This window comes from Homo sapiens, chromosome 8 (assembly GCF_000001405.40).
Source record: "Homo sapiens chromosome 8, GRCh38.p14 Primary Assembly".
Lineage (NCBI taxonomy): Eukaryota > Metazoa > Chordata > Mammalia > Primates > Hominidae > Homo > Homo sapiens.
This window is the reverse complement of record NC_000008.11, coordinates 141,143,688-141,167,567: the sequence shown is the minus strand read 5'-3', so window position 1 is coordinate 141,167,567 and position 23,880 is coordinate 141,143,688. Positions and strand designations below refer to the sequence as shown.

The 23,880-nt window shown below is 49.4% G+C and overlaps 1 protein-coding gene across 30 annotated transcripts in view, besides 4 other annotated features; it reads right to left on the bottom strand.

The window, feature by feature from the left end:
- DENND3 (DENN domain containing 3) overlaps positions 1 to 23,880 on the bottom strand; it is a 67,216-nt gene that overhangs the window by 28,237 nt on the left and 15,099 nt on the right. For 11 of the 30 annotated variants that reach the window (NR_148197.3, XR_007060719.1, XR_928312.4 and 8 more), the window contains exons 5-12: positions 23,309 to 23,420; positions 16,615 to 16,734; positions 15,731 to 15,949; positions 11,598 to 11,719; positions 6,781 to 6,936; positions 4,139 to 4,235; positions 2,279 to 2,382; positions 1,179 to 1,378 (exon numbers count right to left, since the gene is read on the bottom strand). Coding sequence is in view for 24 of the 30 variants with exons in the window: in NM_001362798.2 (NP_001349727.1) it covers positions 1,179 to 1,378; positions 2,279 to 2,382; positions 4,139 to 4,235; positions 6,781 to 6,936; positions 11,598 to 11,719; positions 15,731 to 15,949; positions 16,615 to 16,734; positions 23,309 to 23,420 (1,130 nt within the window). In the remaining 6 variants the exon portion in view is untranslated. Of the gene's footprint in view, positions 1 to 1,178; positions 1,379 to 2,278; positions 2,383 to 4,138; positions 4,236 to 6,780; positions 6,937 to 9,280; positions 9,714 to 10,079; positions 10,142 to 11,597; positions 11,720 to 15,730; positions 15,950 to 16,614; positions 16,735 to 17,219; positions 17,317 to 23,308; positions 23,421 to 23,880 lie in introns of those variants that run through there. The other 19 variants (XR_007060720.1, XR_007060722.1, XR_007060721.1 and 16 more) reach the window with 9 other exon arrangements.
- Positions 2,624 to 2,918: a silencer, noted in NCBI's record as "tiled region #5779; HepG2 Repressive non-DNase unmatched - State 23:Low". NCBI's record gives its function as "represses a minimal TATA promoter and a strong SV40 promoter by Sharpr-MPRA in HepG2 cells {active_cell/tissue: HepG2}" and the evidence as "EXISTENCE:reporter gene assay evidence [ECO:0000049][PMID:27701403]".
- Positions 8,883 to 9,002: an enhancer, noted in NCBI's record as "active region_28046". NCBI's record gives its function as "activates an Ori minimal core promoter by ATAC-STARR-seq in GM12878 lymphoblastoid cells {active_cell/tissue: GM12878}" and the evidence as "EXISTENCE:reporter gene assay evidence [ECO:0000049][PMID:35858748]".
- Positions 9,793 to 10,568: an enhancer, noted in NCBI's record as "H3K4me1 hESC enhancer chr8:142167099-142167874 (GRCh37/hg19 assembly coordinates)". NCBI's record gives its function as "activates a minimal SCP1, AML or CMV promoter by ChIP-STARR-seq in primed H9 embryonic stem cells {active_cell/tissue: H9 hESC(primed)}" and the evidence as "EXISTENCE:reporter gene assay evidence [ECO:0000049][PMID:30033119]".
- Positions 12,869 to 13,827: an enhancer, noted in NCBI's record as "H3K4me1 hESC enhancer chr8:142163840-142164798 (GRCh37/hg19 assembly coordinates)". NCBI's record gives its function as "activates a minimal SCP1, AML or CMV promoter by ChIP-STARR-seq in primed H9 embryonic stem cells {active_cell/tissue: H9 hESC(primed)}" and the evidence as "EXISTENCE:reporter gene assay evidence [ECO:0000049][PMID:30033119]".

The following is a 23,880-nucleotide window of genomic DNA, read 5'->3' as shown; positions in this document are numbered from 1 at the left end:
CCACAGCCTGGGTTACTTGTCCCAGGTACACAGCGACTAAGTGCCTGAGCCACACTTCAACCAGGTGTGTGTCTCACACCAACTCCTTCTATAGATGTTACCTAAGGGCCCTCCAGGAGCTAGGCACCAACTGGGTGCTGGGTTTCCTCTTCTCCCAGGAGCTCCAGAGGACCAAGAGAGCAGGAGGAGGGTCATGGGGGCTCCAGGGGAAGGTTCCGAGGGCAGGGAAAGCGGAGCATGCTCCCAGGGTGAGTGGGCACAGGGCACCTGCCAGCGGCAGACTGACAGATGTTCAGAAGAGGAACTGCAGAACCAGGGAGGTGAAGCTGCCTGCCCAGGGTCACACAGCCAGGGGCAGAAGGCTCGGACCCCACAGTGGCCTCCAGAATGTTCGCTCTGAGCTCCAGCGCTCAGCCGATAAAGACAACGTGGTCTGTCATTCATGCGCACTGCCCCTGCTAGACCATAGCCCTCGGGGTCATCAAGGTGTCACTCGTGCAGCTCCTGGGGTCCCAGCACAGTGATCAGGAGGAGCCACATGGTACTTGCTGCCTGGGCCCGAGACAGCAGCAGCAGGTGCCCTGGGGGTCAAGGCCCCGGCCTCCCGACAGTTTCTCCCATTCACTAGGGACAGGACGTACCTCCCCAAGAAGGCGCGAGGCTGGGCTTGGCCTCTCCATGCAGTCCCATCTCTGTGGAAATGTCCCAACCACAGTCAAGCCCCCTCCCCATCCCTGGCCCTGCTCACTTTAGCCCTGGCCCTGGAATGCCAGCTCCACGAGGGCAGGGGCACTGGGCTCCTTCACAGCTCCGGCTCTAGAAAGTGCCTGGTGCGCTCCCTGCCTCCTATCACACGTGTGGATGTGTAAATATGTATTTATACACATGCAATCCACACATACAGAGACAGGCACAGCCTACACCTGTGAAGGATGCCGAACCATGCCGAGCCCCCGTTATCTTTAGCGGTGACACTGGGTGGCAGAAAATACAGACGAGAAATAATTTTCTAGAAGGCATACCTTGGCAAAATGAATATTCTAAACATTTCAAATAACTCAGCTGCTAAAACAAGCCCACTCGTCTCTCCTGAAACAAGTCCCAGTTTTGCTCAATGACTTGCAGGTGCAGGAATGGTGGGACCGACACACAGCACCACAGTGGGGGGCAGCCCTCACCTGCGCTGCTGCCCCTACAGCCTGCGGTGTCCGTCAGCCGGAGCGAGGAGTTCCTGGGTGCCAGCTCAGGCATGGCAATGTCCTGCAGGTTGGGCATGCTGACCACCATGCGCCTGTGGGTGACATGCAGGTGCGAGGACTTCCGGGAGGCTCTTTTCTCAACGGTCGGTCTCCTTGGACTTAGAAGCATTCCATTTATTCTGGGGTACGAAAAAGCAACGCGTTAGTTTATAGACACAATAATGATTGAAGAATAAGCCTAAACTAAGCATTTTTCCCAGTGTGATGAAGAGCACATGACACTCTTGGACACCAGTGGAAAACAGACTGGTAAGAACATGTTGCCCAAATCTCACCAAGTGCAGCCTCAGGGGGACCCAGACACAAGCCCAGAAGAAACCAGCATAAGCCAACAGGGGCCCTGACTGCAGCAGACACATGTTGGAGGGGGCTCAGGAAGAGAGCAAGGAAGAGATGGAAAACAGCAGGCTTTGAGGATGGGGGGAGGTGGGAAGAGAGAAAGGAGATGAGAGAGAGCAGCACCGAGGAAGACGCAAGGGCCACAAACCACGGGGAGCATGCTAACATCGGGCACGTTTCAAGTGTTCCCTCAAGAAGTAGAAACAGGCCAGGAGTGGTGGCTCATGCCTGTAATCCCAGCACTTTGGGAGGCTGAGGTGGGTGGATCACCTGAGGTCAGGAGTTCAAGACCAGCCTGGCCAACATGGCGAAACCCCATCTTTACAAAAATACAAAAATTAGCCGGGCATGATGGTGGGTGCCTGTAATCCCAGCTACTCAGGAGGCTGAGGCAGGAGAATTGCTTGAACCCAGGAGGCGGAGGTTGCAGTGAGCGGAGATTGAGCTACTGCACTCCAGCCTGGGCAACAAGAGCGAGACTCCGTCTCAAAAAAAAAAAAAAAAAGAAGAAGTAGAAACATGGAGAGAAGAGCTTCCTAGCTGTCGCCCAGTTCATCATGAGTTTCTAAGCACAAGGTATTTCCCATTGACTTTCTCATTTACTCATTCGAATAAAACTGAGGTCCTTGAACACTGTGATTCCTAAAGAGCTGCAGATCCAAAACACAACAGTGAAGCACCTGTCCTCCTCCGACTGGGTGTCGAGGTCCATCTGAGCAAAGGCGTCCATCCTCCTATTGAGCCGGGCTTTAAGAAAAGAATGGAACATGTAGGTGTCTAAGACCTGGAAAAGAGAGAGGGGCTGGTCACTGGGCTGTGCCGACTCCCCAGGTCCCTGCTCCAAAGCCCCTGAGCCTTCCTGGCACAGAACTGGGCATCACCACTCACACCCAGTGGATATTGACTGAGTGAATGAACTCGAGGGTTTTCTGCTCTTCCTCATTCACACAGGAGAAGAAATGGCTGCCATACATTCACACACTGGGTCCCACATACCCACCCCATGAACAAAAGAGTATTTCATCATAGCTACAAGAGGTGGACACAAGCTTCTGGCCATAAGGCAGTAGACAAGGCTCAGACATATCCTCCTGACATAAACTATGAGGAAACTCGATAAAAAAGAGGAAACGACTGTTTTCAGATGCTGGACGAGAGGCAGGCTCGTGGCTGGCGCAGCTCCAGCACTGAGGGCATGGAGGGAGCTCACAGAGGCTGAGGCAGCTGGAAGCCTCGGGCAGGGCTCTGGAGAGGAGGGAATGATACAGGGAGCTCCCGGAGCCTGCATCAGGGTCTCCCTAAGCCTTTGCTGAATACCCCGCTGCCCAGTCATAGGGCGAAACCGCATCAAACCAAAGAACGACTGGGAAGCTGTAAGCAAAACAACTCTCCAAGCTCACAGGGCAGAGAGCCAGTCACGCTCCCAACAGCCAAGGCGGAGGGCCCTGGCTGACCCCTCAGCCATTCAGGAGACACCCGGGGCAGGGTACGTCACTTAGCAGATGGGTTAGGCTATAAACCAACCCTAGAGAAAGGCTGTTCTCGGCCCACCCCAAAGCTGTAAAAACAAACCCCCAAAGGATCAAGGGGCTCTTCAGGCAGCTTCAATCGCCTGCCAGGGCAAAGCCCCCAAGGTGATTATTTTTTTGTAATAGTCACAAATGGAAACAACCCCAATGCTCAGTAGCAGGTGGACAGAAGAACAAAGCGCACTCTGTCCCAACCACGGGACATTCCTAGCAAAAAAAGGAGCCGCCGCTGAGACACACAGTAGCCCAGCTCGGTCCGAGGCAGGAGGCTGAGGGAGAGAGGCAGACAGAGCGCAGACCGCAGGACTGCACAGCGCAAGACTCTGAGATGGGCCAGCCGTCTACGGGGATGCACACAGGTAGAGTTGCCAGGACCTGGGGAGGGATGGGGCAGACTGGAGCCATGGAAATGTTCTATGTCCAGGTTGAGGAAGTGGTGATACAGATATGTACATTTGTCAAAATCCATCAAACCACACACTTAAAATGGCCATATTTTAAGTAAATTATACTTTTTTTTTTTTTTTTTTTTTGAGACGGAGTCTTGCTCTGTCGCCCAGGCTGGAATATAGTGACACCATCTTGGCTCACAGCAACCTCCACCCCCTGGGTTCAAGCAATTCTCCTGCCTTAGCCTCCTGAGTAGCTGGGATTACAGGCGTGCACTACCACACCCAGCTAATTTTTGTATTTTTAGTAGAGATGGGATTTCACCATGTTGGCCAGGCTGGTCTCGAACTCCTGACCTCAGGTGATCTGCCCGCCTCGGCCTCCCAAAGTGCTGGGATTACAGGCATGAGCCACTGTGCCTGGCCACAAGTAAATTATACTCTTAAAAAGCTGATTTTTTTAAAAAAGAGGGAGAGCCACATGGTCAAAAGGAACCATGCTAAAACAAACTTTTTGGAAAAGTTGATACACTTGAGAACACTTATTTTGAAAAGTATTTAAATACAGAAAAGGATAATGGATTGAACACACACAGGCACACCCAAATCCCACAGCTCTCACCTGCTTATAAAACTGATGGTCCCCTGGAGCCCTGGTTTTGAGAAATTCTTCACTATTAAAGACTCTGTGTTCATAGTTTAAATGATTCTTTACATCCCTAACAAAGAGAAAGAGAGTCTGAGTGCTAAAACTTTCTTAAATACATGAAAAATATACCACTTTTAGTAGCAGAGAAATGGTTAGAAGAGATACGAACTTTGAAAAAGCCATGTTCTTCAGAAAGATTCTTGATTACCAAAATGATACGATGTGGATGTATTTTGTGGTCAAGCATAAATTTCCCCCAGCTAGAACGAAAGTACAGGAGGCAGTGTTCCTGTTCTCACCTTCCTCCAGCCCACTAGTTCCTTATGCAAATTAAGACACAAAAGTCAGTTGCGGTCCACACACATGAAACTGAGTTCAGGGTGGGGAGCCCAGAGGGGCAGCCAGACTCTCCAAGTGCTGACCAGCTCGGCCGCCAGCCTTCCCGGACAAGTCACTTCACCTCTGTGTTTGTTTGTCTGTTTGTTTGTTTAGACGGGGTCTTGCTCTATGGCCCAGGCTGGAGTGCAGTGGCACAATCTTGGCTCACTGCAACCTCCACCTCCCAGGTTCAAGTGATTCTTCTGCCTCAGCCTCCCGAGTAGCTGGGACTACAGGTACACACCACCATGCCTGGCTAATTTTTATATTTTTAGTAGAGATGGGGTTTCACCATGTTGGCCCTCAGGTGATCCACCCACCTCGGCCTCCCAAAGTGCTGGGATTACAGGCGTGAGCCACCGAGCCCGGCCCACTTCACCTCTTTGTACCCGGTTTCCTCAGATCATGTTACAAACTCGCGATTTTAGCACATGATCTCCCAGATCTAAAGTAATATATAAATAGAATGAATAACCTTACAGGGCATACTTAGTACGTAATGTGTTCAGTGTTTTCTTGGAGAGAATAAATTATTTCATCTAGGGGAAATAAAGTTTTATCATATGTAATCATATTTTCTGCCTCTTTTTTTTAAAGAGCCGGGATCTTGCTATGTTGCCCAGGCTGGTCTCAAACTTCTAGGCTCAAGGGATCCTCCCACCTCAGCCTCTGGAGTGGCTGGGACTATTCTGCTTTTCTGTCAACTCATTGAGTTTGTAAAATATTAAGAAATTAAAAAAAAATTGTTCATAAGATATTTCATCTTCAAAGAACAAAAGGAAAACAACATATTTAGGACCCCACTAATTATGCCTCTTTGAGCAGAGATAATATCACATGTCTGTAATACACCATCCCATTTTTTCCTAATAAATTATTCGCTTTATGCAAACAAATACATCAAAAGAATAGGCCATTCAGGCTGGGCGCTATGGCTCACACCTGTAATCCCAGCACTTTGGGTGGTCGAGGCAGGAGGATCACCTGAGGTCAGGAGTTGGAGACTAGCCTGGTAAACATGGTGAAGCCCTGTCTCTACTAAAAATAGAAAAAATTAGTTAGGCGTGGTGGTGGCAGGCGCCTGCAGTCCCAGCTACTTCAGAGGCCGAGGCAGGAGAATTGCTTAAACTTGGGAGGCGGCAGTTGCAGTGAGCCCAGATGGCGTCACTGCATTCCAGGCTGGGTGACAGAGTGAGACTCCATCTCAAAAAAAAAAAAAAAAAAAAGGCCACTCAAATTTCCATTTTGAAATAATCACGCAGAGTACGATCAAGCCAGCAGGCTCTGTGCTAACCACCTCCCAAAGCGGAAGGCCCCTCAAGAACAGAGGAGGCCAGCATCGGGGGTGCCTCCTTCACTGCTGGACTCAGGGAGCAACCAGCAAGAAGGAGAGGAAGAACACTGCCAGAGAAAAGGAGAAAGGGTGGGAGAAGCCCAAAGGCTTTTGCATTAAAAAGTACTTATCTATGAAGCTATCATTTTTGCCATACATTCCTTAAGTGACTGCCTATTTAGGCCAGAAATAGCAACTCAATACCTGTACTGTATCACACTGAAATAAACACACTTGACTTGTCCACTTAACCAATTCCAGCTCAGGTGCTGGGGAAGCAATAGCATGCAGGAGGTAGCTAATGCTGTAATTAGTGGAATGAGGAGAAAGAAAACTTGCTAACAGGCACATCTTGAGTGCCCCACCCGTCCTGTGGCTCTCCCATAGATGGTTTCATGATCTAGCTTATGAGTCACATCAAAATGGCCTGTCTGTCCCTCACTAGCCCCTGGATGCAGGCCTCTCGGGACAGAGCCCTCCACGGACTGAGCCAGAGCCCGGAGCCAGCACAGGCCAGAGTGACAGGTGCTCCCTGCAGGTTTATCAGATTTGCGTCTTCCTAGAGGGCTGTCCCAAAACAGCCACCTGCAGGGGGTCACCAGGAGAGGGCGTTAGTAAGGTAGTAAGGCACAGTCACCAGCAGGAGAAGCTGTTAGGAAGGCAGTCACCAGCAGGAGAGGGTGTTAGGAAGGCACAGGCAAGGTCAGAATCAAAAGAACAAACTCCCTGTAACTGCTGATTGTTACAGTCACAAGAAAAGCTTTGGCAGGGGGCGGGGACCACTCATGTTTGCCAGGCAAATGGTACTAATGGCCTGCCCTCTGGGGCGGGGTGCACGATCCCCATAGAATGGATGGCTGGCTGGTTACCTCCTCATGGACACTGGGAATGTTCTCTCACGTACCTGAAGATGCTCACGAGCAGCTGCAGGGTGGTCTGCTGTATCTGGCAGTTGAGTTTCTGCTGCCAGGACCGCCGGTGGGCTCGGCCCTCCTTCAGGTCTGTGCTGGAGAGGAGGTGGGCGGCGTGCAGCTCATGGTGGAGCTGGAGGCTCTGCACCCTGGAAGGAGGCAGACCGAAGCTAGCTCAGCCCCAGCAGCACTGGCCACGGCCGCTCACCAGCACACAGCCCACCAGGTAAATGAACACTTCACAGACACAAATACCGATCAATAATTTGAGGGGCGGGTGGTCATTAAAGTACATCACTGGGGCTGGACGCGGTGGCTCACGCCTGTAATCCCAGCACTTTGGGAGGCCGAGGTGGGTGGATCACCTGAGGTCAGGGAGTTCAAGACCAGCCTGGCCAACATGGTGAAACCCATTCTCTACTAAAAATACAAAAATTAGCCAGGCATGGTGGCAGGCACCTGTAATCCCAGCTACTCGGGAGGCTGAGCCAGGAGAATCGCTTGAACCTGGGAGGTGGAGGTTGTAGTGAGCCGAGATAGTGCCGCTGCACTCTAGCCTAGGCAACAGGAGCGAAACTCTGTCTTAAAAAAAAAAAAAAAAAAATACATCGCTGGAAGACTGGAAGAGTGGATTCACCTCCACACATGGACTCACATGGGCCTCGACTTGGACTATGCACACTTCACCCAGGCCAGCTCATTCCTGTCCTGCCACTGCAGTGAGGGCACTCCCCCTTCTAGGTCACCAAAGGCTTCCAGGTCAGGCTGCCTCTTGACGGGTCACTCATGGCTGCCTAGAAGGGACAGTCACAGCTCCCCCATGGCTTCCCCTCTGTACTTCCTGCCCAGGCAGGATCAGATGCCCCTCTGTGCCCTGCAACAAACGTCCCGGGTGTCACCACTCTTGGCCCACCAGGAGATGGCCAAAGGCTCACCCCAGAGGGCCTCACTCAGGGACAGGAACTCACAGATATCTGTCAACCCTGAGCCACCATGAGATTGGACCCCTGGCCTTCCCAACACCACTAAAGGCTGCATGTCTAGAGGGACGTTAGAAATATACAAAATAAACAGAACCAACGCATATCTGGTCACACATATTTCTTGAGCACCTACTGTATGCCATACACTGATCTGTGTGCTAGGGATGGGTGGTGGACACAGGCCAAGCCCCTGCCTGCGTGGCACTTCCATGTGAGTGGGAGGAAGTAGGAAAAGAGACAAATCAAGAAAACAGGAGATAATGAGGACATCAGGCAGAAACGCACATCACAGCGATGGGCTAGAGAGACACGGCAGTCAGACTGAGCGGGCAGAGAAGAGTTCTCCCAGGAGACGACCTGGAACCGGAGATGTGACAGGAAGACACAGACGGGGGACTTGATGGACCCAGTGCGGCCCAGCATGGTAGGGGGAGTGGGAGTGTGGGCCAGGTCAGCATGGCCGGCAGGAGCCAATCTTCTCTGTGATGGGAAGGGTGCACTGGCCACAGGCCCCTGCCGCTGCCTGACCCTCCTGGAGGCAGGGACAGGAAAAGGGAAGAACGGGATTCTGGGTGGAGTGGCCCACCAGGGGATGGTAGCAGGCAGGCACGCGGTGCCAGGGCCAGGACCAGGGTTCTCTCCAAACGTGCTGAGCAGCAGCTGCTGAGGGGCCAGCCCAGCCCTGGCTGACCAGACTCACAGGACTTGGGCAACTACCCTTGCCTAGATGGGTCTCAAGAACTGTGATGTTTACCAGCACCAAACTGGCCTTTCATCTGAAAGAACACGCAGAATGCCAGGGAAAGAAATTTTGATGACTTTCCTCATGTAAAAAGGGCTATGATGCCACCTGGAGTGGCAGCTTCTCTTACTGCATCTTCTGGTGCAGGGACAGTGGGGTCTGAAGGAGATGGCCATCCCCTCTCCCGGAACCCCATGCCTCCCTCACCCAAGCACGCAGCCAGCATAGCCCTGAGCTGGCGACCCTACCCCTGCTGCCCAGGGAGAGAGCGACTTCCATCAGAGATGAAGACAGCAGTGAAGAGAGTGACCAAGAGCCAAGGGTGCTGGGGAAAGCTGGGCAAGGAGGGGGCTGCCCCGTCCCTCCCAGCCACACGCTCACGTGCAGAGAGATGCATATTGTACTCCAGAGCCCCTTGAGCAGGCACCCCAACGACACCGCAGCCCACAACCTGTATCATGAGCTCAGAGGCCTCTTATAGACAGGTCACCCATGGCACAGGGATTAGCTTGTGTTTACAAAAGAGTCTCCAAAAATGAGGCTGTGGGAGACACGACATCCTGCATCCCCATTCTGGGGGATCTAGCCAAAGCGGGGCCCAGCCTCCGTATCGTGTGTGTTTCTATTCCGGAATTCTAACAAGAAGATGAGGATGCAGGCAGAATCCTACCTTCCTGGGAATGCTCAGAGCTTCAACACAGTCTCACAAAGCTCAGTTCTATTACAGAATGTCACGCTCTAAAAGTCAAGGAAGCAGCTGTGGCTTACCAGAAAGTAACTGAGATGATTGGGAAAGCACGTGTCTCCTTCAAAGTTCGCGCAGAGGACAGTTGCCAACAGAACAGCTGCTCAGGTGCCCTTGGCTGGGGAGGAGAGCCCAGCGATTCCACAGCCCAAGCAAGCAGAAACCAGCCTTGCCTGTGCAGGACCATCGCTTGGCTTTAAGGCCTTAGGGAATTTTTTAAGATGCAAGAACAATAATAAAGGTAGTTCTCCGACTGGGCGCGGTGGCTCACGCCTGTAATCTGAGCACTCTGGGAGGCCCAGGCAGGTGGATCACCTGAGGTCAGGAGTTCGAGACCAGCCTGGCCAACATGGTGAAACCCTGTCTCTACTGAAAACACAAAAATTAGTCGGGCATGGTCACAGATGCCTGTAATCCCGGCTACTCCGGAGGCTGAGGCAGGAGAATCGCTTGAACCTGGAAGGCGGAGGTTGCAGTGAGCCAAGATCACGCCACTGCACCCCAGCCTGGGTGACAGAGCAAGACCCTGTCTCCAAAAAAAAAAAAAAAAAGAGGTAGTTTTCCTAAACATTTTTCAGAAACCTTCCAGGTAGAAGGAATAATCCACACCAAGGTAAGAGTCAGAAATCAGAAAAGCCAGGTGAAAGGCCAGGCCAGAAACCGCCCTCCTCCTTCCCACTCCTCCCAATGCAGACAAAGGAAGGCGAAGAGAAGAAAGGTGATGGCTGACTGAAATCCAGACTGCATCACAGGCTTCACCAGAAGCAAGTACAGCCCGGCTGTTTGCAAAAAGCCTAAGCGCTCCCCTCCCTCCAGCGTCACCTCCACGACCGCACTCAGGGCCTGGCTGCAGTTGGACCCACAGGTTGTGAGGACTCAAGAGCAGGATCTCTCCTCCTGCTATCATTTTATAAAATGCTGAAGGGAAAAATGAGCTCCGCAGAGCAACCCCGAGGGAGCCCTGGCACTGAAGCTGAGTCACTGCTTGGGGCACACCCAACACCTCCGTCCTGACGTAATTAGCAATTACACCTCCTCTCACCCTCCCCTGACCAAAGTCCCTGCCAAGCCTTTGCACCTCGACAGAGACCTCAGAGCCCCAAAGCATGAAATATTATTTGACACTTGTTGGAAAAAGTTTGCTGACGCCTGATCTAAGCCAATGAGGTTGAGTAACAGAGATGAAAGAAAACATAAACTATAAAACGGTGTGAAAAAATTAAGTGCCAGGCCGGGCACAGTGGTTCATGCCTGTAATCCTAGCACTTTGGGAGGCTGAGGTAGGCAGATTACAAGGTCAGGAGTTCAAGACCAGCCTGGCCAACATAGTGAAACCCATCTCCACTAAAAATACAAAAAATTAGCCAGACGTGGAGGTGCAATCCCAGCTACTCGGGAGGCTGAGGCAGGAGAATCGCTTGAACCCAGAAGGCAGAGGTTGCAGTGAGCCAAAATTGCGCCACTGCACTCCAGCCTGGGCAACAGTGCGAGACTCCATCTCAAAAAAAAAAAAAAAAAAGGAAAGAAAAAGAAAAGATAAAGTGCCAATACAGTGGCGGGAGTGAAAGAAATGGACAACTTCTAGCTCGGACAGAATGCGTCATGCCCATCAGAACCCAGCAGACAAACTCAAGGGGCAGGGGCCATGGCTGTCCTGTCATTAGTACACAGGCACTGCCCAATTCCGGGTATACGACGGGTATGCAATACACATCTAGTGAATGAATGAATGAATGAATGAGTGAATGAATGAATGAATGGATAGGGAACTTCAAGGATCACAGGCACAGGATCCTGGGGCACAGCACAGAGGTTGAGTAGGTTTCCTCTCAAGAGACAGGATGTGACTGTCTCTTGACTTGAAGTAACATTCAGACAAGATTGGAATAAAGACAAATCACTTTCATTTCAAAATATTCATGGCCAGGTGCGGTGGCTCACACCTGTAATCCCAGCACTTTGGGAAGCCAAGGTGGGCAGATCACTTGAGGTCAGGAGTTTAAGACCAGCCTGGCCAACATGGTGAAAACTGAAAATACAAAAATTAGCCAGGCATGGTGGTGGGCGCCTGTAATCCCAGCTACTTGGGAGGCTGAGGCAGGAGAATCGCTTGAACGTGGGAGGCAGAGGTTGCAGTGAGCCGAGATTGCGCCACTGCACTCCAGCCTGAACAACAAGAGTGAGACTCAATCTCAGAAAACAAAATTCACAAATAATTTCCAAACTATAATATATAAAACATCTATCAGTTATATAAAATTGGAAAAGATACTCGAAGTGGCAAATACAGAATCTGAACAAAGACGGTCTGAAATTCATACCATTAATGTTTCCCGTTACCTCTGAATAAACGTCTGGGCTGCCAGGAGGGGGACATCAGGAATGTCCACGTTATCGTCCGTGGACTTGGAGTAGGTGATGCTCCCATGATCAATATTTATCAGAACTAAACCGTCGGCTTCCTAGAAAACAAGGAATCATCTGTAAAGATTGATAAAAGAATTTCGGAATTTGTATACCTCTTTGAAAACACATAAATATGTTTTGAGTTCACTAAGACAGTGTCATCATTAATTAAATGACCCTCTTTAAAATGCACACATAGGCCGGGTGCAGTGACTCATACCTGTAATCCCAGCACTTTGAGAGGTCAAGGCAGGCAGACTGCTTGAGCCCAGGAGTTTGAGACCAGCCTGAACAACACAGTGAGACCCTGTCTCTACAAAAAATTTAAAAGAAATTAGCCAGGTGTGGTAGCACATGCCTATGGTCCCAGCTACTTGGGAGGCTGAGGCAGGAGGATCCCTTGAGCCCAGGAGGTTGAGGCCGCAGTGAGCCGAGATCACACCACTGCACGGAAGCCTGGGCAACAGAGCAAGACCCTGTCTCAAAAAATAATAATAATAATAAAATAAAATAAATGCACACATAGCCTCATATTTTCTACACAAAAATCTAGTATATATCATGAGCTATGTTAATGGGCTAAATTTGATTAAATATGCCTTTCTCTTATTTTTCTTAATTGTGGTAAAATAAACATAAACTGTGTCAACGTAACCAATGTTAAGCGTGCAGCTCGACAGTGTAAGTGCATTCGAGTGGTTGTGCAAGCATCTCCCCCAGCCATCCCCAGAATGTTTTCATCATCCCAAAACTGAGACTCACTATCCAGCACAGCTCCCAGCCTCCCCTCCACAAGCCCACTAATCTGCTTTCTGTCTCCATGAATTTGACTCCTCTAGGGACCTCAAATGAGTGGATTCACGAACAGCATTTGTTCTTTTGGGACTGGCCTATTTCACTCCACGTTGATGTCTGTGAGGCTCACCCATCTGAGGCATGTGTCAGAACATCCTTGCTTCTTCAGCCTGAATAGTCCATTATTTGGAAAGACCACATTTTGCTTACCCATATGCCTTTCTCTTTCAGTGAAGATTCCAACACAGGCTGGGTGCAGTGGCTCATGCCTGTAATCCCAACACTTTGGGAGGCCGAGGTGGGTGGATCACCTGAGATCAGGAGTTTGAGACCAGCCTGGCCAACATGGTGAAACCTCGTCTCTACTAAAAATACAAAAATTACCCAGGCATGGTGGCGTGTGCCTGCAATCCCAGCTACTCAGGAGGCTGAGGCAGGAGAATCGCTTGAACCCAGGAGGCGGAGGTTGCAGTGAGCTGAGATCGTGCCATTGCACTCCAGCCTGGGCAACAAGAGCGAAACTCCATCTCACAAAAAAAAAAAAGAAAAAAAAAAGATTCCAATACATGTTGTTGACAAGGTTTCTCCTACCCTGGAACAAACACTGCATGTACTGCTTTTTGGGAGTCTTGGAGGGAGCATTCCAGAACTCCAGTGAGGGCACCACCAACCTCCAACATCCACTGTGTTGGCTCAGCTCCCCAGCCAGCTCCGCCCCTCCAAGCACCAGAGCATGGGCAGGGGCCTGGGCTAAGAGACCGCGTAGCCCTGGAATATTTGAGATATGCACATGATGACTTGGAGAGGCTCCTGTGACAGAGTACACAAATACTGAGTCACGCACCCGAGCCCTGCACTTCAACAGCCCCGGAATGCAATGCCAGGTTCCTGGGGAAGGCCCCGACTCCCCGGCTCTCATTCTGGGCCCCGCCCTTTGGAGTGCAGTTCAGGTGGCTACATGAAATATGTGCAAACACATTCTTGGCCTCAAAACCTTACAAGGCAAATACACAAAACGCTAAAGCAGCGAGGCACACAGCCGGTCCCGTGGATGTGTTAACGCCCAGCGTCTTTGGGAGACACAAGTGTTTGGTGGAGGCGCATAGGGTCACTGCCAGCTCCTTCCTGCAGATCCCACCGCCAGCCACAAAACACAAAAACAAAACACCCAAACAAATCCAGAAGAGCAGCTGCCTCTCCTGAAATCTTTCCCAACAGGTGAGTGCCTCAAAGGTGTCCCCCACTGCTGACTGGAACTGCTAGGTGAACATGTGGAAGAAAGTTGTCCTCCTAAAAGAGCCTGAAACACAATTTTGTTCCCCTAATGACTAAAAAAAGAAACAACTTTAAACTTCACAACACAGCTTATTTTCTCCTCGTCTGCGAGGCGGGATGGATGACGCTTTTCCGTTCCTTCCACAGAGGTCTGCCTGGCCTTTTCCTGAAGTGTGTTTTCCCCAGTGAGTCACTCGCCTTGGCAGGAACACACAAGCACTGTTCTCCCCCGCAGCGGGGACCCTGGCCGGGCCCAGCCAACGGGCCCTTCCCAACACTTGTGGGGGAAGCATCTGGACCCTGGGATTTGCTTTAAAACGCTCCGGGAAAAGCGGGGCTGGGGGTGACTGCGAAGCTGGCAACAGGCTGAGGACTGTGAGGGGCGCATGACACACGCTGTGTTCTTCTATTTTTGTGCACACTTAGAAATTTTCAAAATGGAGCAAGGCGTGGTGGCTCACGCCTGTAATCCCAGCACTTTGGAAGGCCAAGGTGGGCGGATCACTTGAGGCCAGGAATTTGAAACCAGCCTGGGCAACATGGTGAAACCCCATCACTACTAAAAATACAAAAATTAGCCAGGTGTGGTGGCACATGCCTGTAGTCCCAGCTACTCGGGAGGCTGAGACAGGAGAATCGCTTGAACCCGGGAGGCATTGGTTGCCATGAGCCGAGATCACGCCATTGCACTCCAGCCTGGGCAACAGAGCGAGACTCTGTCTCAAAAAAAAAAAAAAAAAAAGAAAGATATTGTTCAAAATGGAAAGTTAAATGTAAACCGACCCTGTACAAACCACCAATAACACAGGAAAAGATGCCCAATATCATTCGTCACCAGGGAAATGCACATCAAACCACAGTGAGATACCAGCTCCTCCTCACCGGGTCGGGGGCAGGGCTGCAATTCAAATGGCAGACAACAACCAGCGCTGGCGCGGACGTTAGGAGAAGCTAGAACCCTCGTACTGCTGGTGGGAGTGTAAAACGGCACGGCCGCTTTGCGAAAACAGCTTAGCAGTTCCTCAAAGGGTTAAACAAAGAGCTGCCTTATGACCCAGCAATTCCACTCCTAGGGACACACCCGAGAGAAACGAAAGCACATATCCACACAAAAACTTGCACACAAGTGTTCAGAGCAGCCAAAAGGTGGAAACAACCCACACGGTCATCACTGAACAGTGTGATGAAGATTTTATCACGACGACCTCATTGTGAGTGGATGGACAAAACTCGGTCTATTTATACAATGAAACCCTAGTCAGCAATAAAAATAAAGGGCTGAGAGATGCTACCACGTGGAGGAGTCTCAAAGCCATGACGTGAAGTGGAAGGAGCCAGATGGAAGGATAGCGCATGGAGCAACTCTGTTCCCACGAGAGGTCCAGAACCGGCAAACCCAGAGAAAAAGCGCATGGGTGTGGCTGTCAGGCCCTGGGGGCTGACTGCTAATGTGTGATGAAAATTTCCCTTCTAAAATTGGACGGCGGATGATTGCACAACTCTATAAATATCCTAAAACCCACTGATTCATACATTTTAATTGGGTAAACTTTGAGGTATGTAAATTGTATCTCAATAAAGCTATTTTTAAAAACCAAACCCAGTCCACCTCCTGGCATCATTGCAATATTTAGCACAAATCCATCAGCTCACCAACTAAAAACATGCTGTGTCAGATTCACAGAGGGGTCACAACAGTACCATCTATGAGCACCTGCTGCAGGCCCAGTGCTGGCTACTGCCTCACTCGGCCCTCACCGGGACAATGAGGTGGGCACACTCACTGTCCTGTCTCCACTAGGAGACTAAGGGGTCCCGGCTTCATCACAGGACAATGACACAGTGAGTGAACAGCCACTTCTCACGGTACCCGTGACCTCTCTGCGGCACACAGACCCCGCCTTCACCGCGGAGCACTTTCAGACGCATCTTCCCATGTGTCCCCGTGATGGACTCACAGGAATTTAGCATTCCAAGTCAAAGGTTCGCTACCTAACCTTGCTGACTTCTTCGAAGTGGTCGAGATGGCAGCCCATCAGGAAGGACGTGGGGGCCATGACGAAATCCAGCATCTGGTCCGACAGGATGGGCACGAAGGGGTGCTGCCACTGCAGCGGATACAGGTAGGCCATGAAGCACTCAGTGACCAGCGTCAGCAGAGCCCAGTCCGAGGAGAAGAAGACGATCCGCTGTTCCGTCAGGATGCATGTCAGGATCTGAGGGGAGAACCCGCCGCACTGAGTACATGCTTTTAAAAAAAAAAAAAATACAGACAGGGTCTCGCTGTGTTGCCCAGCCCAGGCTGGAGTGCAGTGGTGTGATCATAGCTCACTGCAGCCTCGAACTCCTGGGCTTAAGCAATCCTCCCACCTTGGCCTCCCAAGCAGATGGGACCACAGCAACGTGCCTCCACATCCAGCTCATTGTAAAATTTTTCTGTGGAGACAAGGTCTCCCTATGTTGCTCAGGCTGTTCTCAAACTCCTGGCCTCAAGCAATCCTTCCACTTCGCCTCCCAAAGTACTGGGATTACAGGCATGAGCCACCGCACCCGGCCCATGTACACACTTCTGATTCAGTACAATAAAGAGAAAATGCTCATAAACACACCACCCAACCAAACCAGACTGACTGCGGGCTCTTCCCTGGTCCCTCAGCTCCATCTGCCAAACAAAAGCCACCTGAGACTCTGCAAAGGGTGCCATTTGCAAATATCATGCACTGTAGGGAACATTGGCTTTAAAAAATAATAATAAACATTTCGAGTATACCAGTCGGTGCATTGTGGAATAAACTCGCATCTTCATCATCTCTGATCGTTGCTCTGATGCCCCACTAAGGCAGGGAGCACAAGACGCGCTCGCCGGGGCGGGGCCGCGTACCTGTAGCACCTTCTCAGGCCTGAAGCACAGCAAGGGCAGGTGAAGGTCCAGGTCCAGGATGGGGCTTTCGGGGTCTGCTCGGGCAGGTAACACAATCTGGAGCGACTTCATGTTAAATACCTACGACAACCAGTTCCCGTCATTAGTTCAGAGAGCTGCTCCGGGCAGAGGCTGACGTGCACTACTGTCACTATTTCGGTGCCCAGGGCATCAGAGTTAGAAAACATTTCTGAAGACACAGGCTGCCACGTTAAATTCTGCAGAATAACCAAACGGTCTAGAGATATACAGAACTGCCGATAAAGGCTCAAACATAAATTAAGTACTTAATGTCTTTTTCTAAGTAAGCCAAAATTCCTTAAGCTCTAATTAATCAGCAAACTACTCATTGTCTAGACAGAGATAAACTACAGGACAGATATTTGTCCCAATTAACACAAATTCTAAATCAAGCATGTTCAAATTATTCTTAGGTATTACATATTCTTTTTAGTTAGTGTATGCTATGAACTCTCTTTTAATAGCTTTGACAATTTAATAGTCAAAGCTCCTTCAAGACATGTGCATTTCAAATTTTAAGAAAGACGTTTTTCTAAATGTATTACTTTGAAGTCACACTTCAGTTCAAATTCTGTATTCACAGAATGGCTACTGAGACACGGCTGGACCTGGCGGAGGAAATCCAGAGGAGAAGGTTCAGTTCCTTCACTGAGGGAGGGCTTCTGAGCCTGCCAGGAAATGGGCTGCAAACAGCGAGTTCCTGCCACCCGGGTGCTGGCACGTGGGAGGCCCTCAGGAAATGCTGGGTGCCCAGCTCGGCACCCAAAGCTCCAGGAAACGAGCGTAATGGACGGATCTAAGTGTAAGCAAAGCACAGGGAAACAGAAAGGAGAGACATGATCAGAGCAGACAGCTGAGACTCCATCAAGGGAACACCTGGGAGGGTAAGAAATCAAGCGAAGCAGGGAGCCGGGGGGAGAAAACAGGTCACAAACAAGGTCTCCCGTGGCCCTGCTTTCTCCCAGTCTCCCAAGTCTGTATTCTAAGCATGCCTGCACACGAGAAACTGAAAACAAGAAAAGGTGGTAATTTCTTGGTGGTGGGGACACCAGCGTTGCTTCCTAACAAGACGCAGGTCCTTGAATAACATCGTTTTGTTATAATGTTGATGAGAAAAAGGAATCGCGTCCCAGCGGGGGACACCTTCACATTCTCCTCATGCCCGTGCCCGGCTAGGTTTTCTCCAGGTCCTCCTGAAGCCCAACCGGCACATATGGACAGGTCCCCGTGTGAGCAAGTGTGGGAGAGCGTGGGATTGGCCCTGCCATGGGACAGCATCCGGCCAGGGCTGGTTCCCGCCTTGGCCCTAAGCTGCCGGGATGGCCTCCGTCCACCCTCAACCCTGAACTGCAATAAGCAGGTAAATGATGTTCCTCCTTACTTTAATTAATTGTTCTTAAATGTGTGTACAGCTCCCATTTACTTCAATGTTTAATATCAGAAGTGCTTTGGGTCTTTATTTAGAAGTTTGGTGATTTTTTATGACCAGTAGTATGCCATAGGAACTTAACTCTTGTCTGCATCAATTAGTTTATGGTGAAATTGATTTTGTGACCCAGGGCTTAATGTTGCAGTTTCTGAGAACCTGCCAGCCACGCTGAGGACCTACTGTGCTTGGGTCTCTTTGCTTTCTTGTTACCAATTTGTGTACAGAAGCAAGCCATGTTAAAAATAAGGCAAATTCGGCCGGGTGTGGTGGCTCATGCCTATAATCCCAGCACTTTGGGAGGCTGAGGCGGGCGGATCACCTGAGGTCAGGAGTTCAAGACCAGCCTGATCAACATGGAGAAACCTTGTCTCTACTAAAAATACAAAATTAGCCAGGCATGGTGGTACATGCCTGTAATCCCAGCTACTCGGGAGGTTGAGGCAGGAAAATCGCCTAAACCCAGGAGGTAGAGGTTGCGGTGAGCCGAGACTGTGCCATTGCACTCCAGCCTGGGCAACAAGAGCGAAACTCCTCTCAAAAAAAAAAAAAGGCAGATTCATTTATGTGAATAAAGTTCTTTATGTAAAAGAAAAGAAATCAAAGTTAAATTATCCAAGTTGTGGCACAGTATTAATAATTGTCAACTTTACATGAAACATTTTCAATATTTCAAAAAACAAATGTGCCGACCAGCTATCCAATTAAAGATTAAAAAAAAAAATACAAATGCTAATCACTCCACCAGCCTTTGGTTGGTCTCGGGTGCATGCTAGAGATTTTCCAGCATATAATATTCATACTCTCTGAAGTGGGCTGTTATTTCACCCACTCCATAGATGAACAGACTGAGGAGAGAGATATTTAAGGTAAACAGTTTCCAAATCTCAGCTTGATTTGAGCCCCAGGAAAGAACAGGTGTCACATACAAAGCAACATAGAAAATGACTCAGATACGGTACAAGAGAAGAATGTGTGTGTGTGTGAGATTTTGCACACCCAATTAAGCCAAAGATTTGCAAAGCAAGTAAAATCAGTCCCGCTGGAGGGCAAGAAAAGGCAGGTGAGCGCAGAGTGGGGCTGTTTCTAGTCTTTGCCCTGCTCCGGCTGTTGGTCCATGCACCATCAGAGGAAGGGGGCTGAACGGGAACCAGGGAATCAAGGCACAGGGCATGGCTCTGTCCTCTACCCCCTGTGCCATGGGGCCCCCTCCCTCCTCCCTCCTTTCCACCAGCATAGATCAGAGATAACCCGGACCAGAAGTAATGAGGAACGCACACACACGCATTCAAAACACAAGACCCATCTCACTACTGCTCTCGAAAACAGCCTCTAAGCTTGCAGTGGGTTCTAGAAAATATGGCTGGGTTGGCTCCTGCATCAGATGAGAACCTTGGCCTACACTGACCTCTTGGATTTATTCAAAACAATAAACACTCATGTATGACATTCCCTAAAACAGATCACAAGCATTATACCAACTTAGAGCCAGTAGCTAATTAGACTTGGTATGGGAGAGCTGCACTGAGTCAAGCCCGATACAGACTGAGTCACTCATTCAGACACACGCACGGGACGCAGATCAGCAGGCACTGACTGGCTAACACAGCAATCCGAGGCATCCCTGCACACGCTCGCCCACCACACAGCTCACTGCTGGGCAGCTCTGTGCGGGCCCGGCTGTGAGCTCTGGATATGCGGTGCTGGGTGTGGCCTCTACCTTCGTGCAGCTCAGAGTCTGATGGGGGAGACGAACATTAAACAAAAACACATGCACAGAAGCCCTAATTACAAACTGTGCCGTGCCCTGCGGGATGAGAACTGGGTGCTATCGGAGAGACGGGGAGTGGGGGTCACTCAGAGAAGACGATCCGAAGACCTGACCGCTGAGAGTGACCAGAGATGAGCCACAGCTGGCCACAAGAAAATGGAGGAAACAGTGTTTGTGGAAACAGCGTGTGCAAGGGCCCTGTGGCGGCACCTTCAGGGAATGGACAGGAGTCCAGTGAGGCCAGACATCAGCACGCTGGGGGAGTGGCATAAAACAGAGCTGGACAGTGAGACAGGGTCCAGGCTGCAGGACTGAGGAAGGTAGACGGTGAGAAACTGTTGTGGGGCTTGGGGAAGAGAAGCAAAGCCCAATATCCACATGTTAATAATCTCTGCAGCCACTGTGCAGAGGACAAATGGAAGGGTGGAGAATGAACCAAAGCAGACAGGCCAGTGGTCCCCAAGTCACGCAGCGGGGAGCAGCTGGTGACCCAGAGTGAAGTGGCAGCAAGGAAATGGGCAAACTGGAAAGGAACACTGAAGGTAGTCCGGCGAGGCTGAGTGATGGACGGAATGGGTGAGGGAAGAGCAGGCCAGCGGCAACCCTCAGTCACCTTCCTCACGGGTGCGTCGAGATGAAGGAGCCGAGAGTCATCGGGCCAGGAGACCCGGAGCAGCGCTGGGAGTGCTACGCACGCATTCCTTATGTTCAAAGGCCGAGTGCAGCTCATTACTGCTGACCCTGAAACTGCTCTCAAGTCAGAGGTCTGGCTCTGTTCACGGATCTCACAGGCCCTCAGTAAATACTTGCTGCGTTTACAGAACAAGAACATAAACTTTGATGATTTCACTGCACATACTGTTGACAAGAAAATGCCAACTATCCACATAAAACACGCGGCCGATAAACATGCCCTACAAAGGCTTCTGGGAGCAGAGCTGACAGAGACGGGTGGCCTGCTGCGTATCTGGACTGGAATGCACCGGCAGGATTTTCCACCCAGCAGACTGCTGGGGTTGGGGTAATGTTAAAAACGCACATTTTAAGTTCACAATCATGTGTCTTTTGATACAAGAAACTTATTTTTTCCATTGTCAGTAAAGAAAAATGTAGAAGATCAAGATTAATACGTATAATCTTTCAGAGGACTAGCACAATGAAACTGAATCGACATTTACTAAACATTTTGAGACGTTTGACGGGTGTCTATTAAAGGAAAAAATAAAAAGCAGCATCCTAAGTACAGTTAAAATTAGTTTGGAACATGCTGAGTCAAACAGGTTTCTTCACATAGCTGAGCAACCTGACATGTTTCTCAACAAACAAAAGGGGAAGGTGGCCAGCCACATCTCCAGCTTCACTTAACCCCAAACCCTGTGTCTTGAAATCGCCAATAACATCTCTCAGAAAAAAAACCAGCCTGGGAAATGTTTGCCTGTTCATTAAGTAACACAGCACTACATCTAAGAGTAACAAAAAATATAAAACCAGTTACTTCTCATTAATCACACTGTACAAGAGAAAACACTAACAAATGAAATACAATATCCAGGGCGGGCGCGGTGGCTCACGCTGTAATCCCAGCACTTCGGGAGGCCGAGGCGGGGAGATCACGAGGTCAGGAGATCGAGACCACCCTGGCTAACAAGGTGAAACCCCATCTCTACTAAAAATACAAAAAATTAGCCAGCGTGGTGGCACGCGCCTGTAATCCCAGCTACTCTGGAGGCTGAGGCAAGAGAATGTCTTGAACCCAGGAGGCAGAGCTTGCAGTGAGCCAAGATCACGCCACTGTGCTCCAGCCTGGGTAACAGAGCAAGACTCCGCCTCAAAAAAAAAAAAATACATATATATATATATATATATATATATATATATATATATATATATATAATATTCAATATTAAAGACAAATAAACAAATAAATGAAAAATCTGTAATTTGAATAAATTCTTCTATAAAAGGATTCAGGTTTCCATGTATTATCTGCATAGGGAGCTATGAACTGACATGCTAACCACTGAAGTGCCACGACATATCACTAGCTCTGTTTATCACAGCCCACTCTGCAAAACTCAAGTCTAAATATTTAACTTTTCACCTTTAGGAAGAGTATATAAAATGTTCCCATAAGGACCTTGAGAAACATAATTTAAGCACAGTGTTAATGGAAAAACCAAACTCTATCAAATATTTTAAAGGGGTTTATTCTGAGTGACCGTGGCCTAGGGAACAGTCTAAAGAGTGGTCCCCAGAGGGCCGGGTTACAGTTTGGTTTTATGCATTTTACAGAGACAGGAGTGACAGGCAAAGACATACATCAGTCCATGGAAGGTTGAGGTTGGTTTGGCCCAAAAAGGTGAGGCATCTCAAAGAGGAAGGAGGGTATAAGTCATAGGTGGGTTTCAGGGATTCTTTACTTGGCAATTGGTTGAGAAAGATGAGCTACTGTCTAAAGATCTGAAGTCAGTGGGAAAGAAGGCCTGAGTCAAGATAAGGGGGTGTGCGGCTGAGGCCCTTGCTACATAAATGAAGCCTCACAGGTGGCAGCCCTCAGAGAGAAGAGATGGTGAATGTCTCTTTTCACACTTTAAAGGTGTCAGGCTCTCAGTTCATCTCTCCTAGATCTGGCAAAGGCCTAGGAAGGCAGGCCTGGCTGCATGAATAGATTCTCTACAGATGCAAATTTCCCCCACAAAAGACAGCTTTGCAGTGCCATTTCAAAATATGTCAAAGAAACATATTTGCAGTAAAATACTTTGATTTTCTTCAGGGTCTGCTATCTGTCATGGATGCTATACCAGAGTCAGGTTGGAAAGTAAGCTACATTATACCTGTTTAAGGAGCTCTTATGGTTTGTAGGGAGTGACTTAACCCTTGCTTTGTGTGACCTTAGGTTTTGTTCATAATTTGGAATCTTATGGCCACAGAGAGTCTGTTCTGTCGGTCTTAGGATCTCCATTTTAACCTAATGCTGGTCAGCTGTGCCTAAACTCCAAAAGGGAGCGGGCATAACAAGGCGTGTCTGACCTTCCTTCCTGTCATGGCCGGGAATTTCATTTTTAAGGTTTTTCTAGGGTCCCGTTGGCCAAGAGGGAACCTGTTCAGTCAGTAGGGAGGCTTAGGATTTTCGTTTTAGTTTACAACCCTATACACAAACACCCCATACACTCACGCAAGAGGGAGAGGGTATAACCAGGCGTGTCTGACCTCCCTTCCATTCTGGCCAGTCATTCTGTTTTTTGGGTTTCTCTGGGGTCCCCTTGGCCAAAAGGGGGTCCAGTCAGTCAGCTGTGGGGAGGCGGGGGGGTTAGGATGTTATTTTAGGTTTACAACAGCTAGAACTTCAGAAATAGTTGTGAGCATTTACATTATCTTCAACATCTTACTTTTACTATTTGCAAAGAAAAAACAATATAATTTCAGATATACTTTACCAAATGGAGCGGTCCAGGTGGCGGGCTGGGTATTAAAGACAGCTTCGCAGCGAAATCTTTTATATGACTGTCCACTTCAAAATCTTTACAGGGCTTCAGAAGAGCCAATAAACTGAAATTCGAAACACAAAACTCAAACCGCAAAATAAAGATGAGAACGCAGTTGTCATCGTTAGCGTTTCTAATCACACTGGAATCTCCCCAGCGTCTGCAGCAGCAGCTCCAGGACCTTTCACCAAAAGCAAAGTCACCAAGCTGCTGGGTGACAGCAGAGTGGCCCCAGGTCTGCGGTAGTGCCTGACAGGTGGCACAAAGGGAGGTATATTTTGGAAGGGGAAGTCCTGGTCATGCTCTGTTTCCTCATCTGGGTGCTAGTTACATGTGTGTGTTCAATTTGTGGGAAATCACTGGAATTTGTGCGTTTGTCTGTACGTGTGTTTTACCTCGGTAAGGAATAAAAGAACAAACACCTGGAAGGAGAGTGCTTGAGAAAGTCTGTCTCCAAAATGGACTCTGACTTTTAAAGTACTGTATACAATTTAAAACTATAAGAGGGGTGGGTGCGGTGGCTC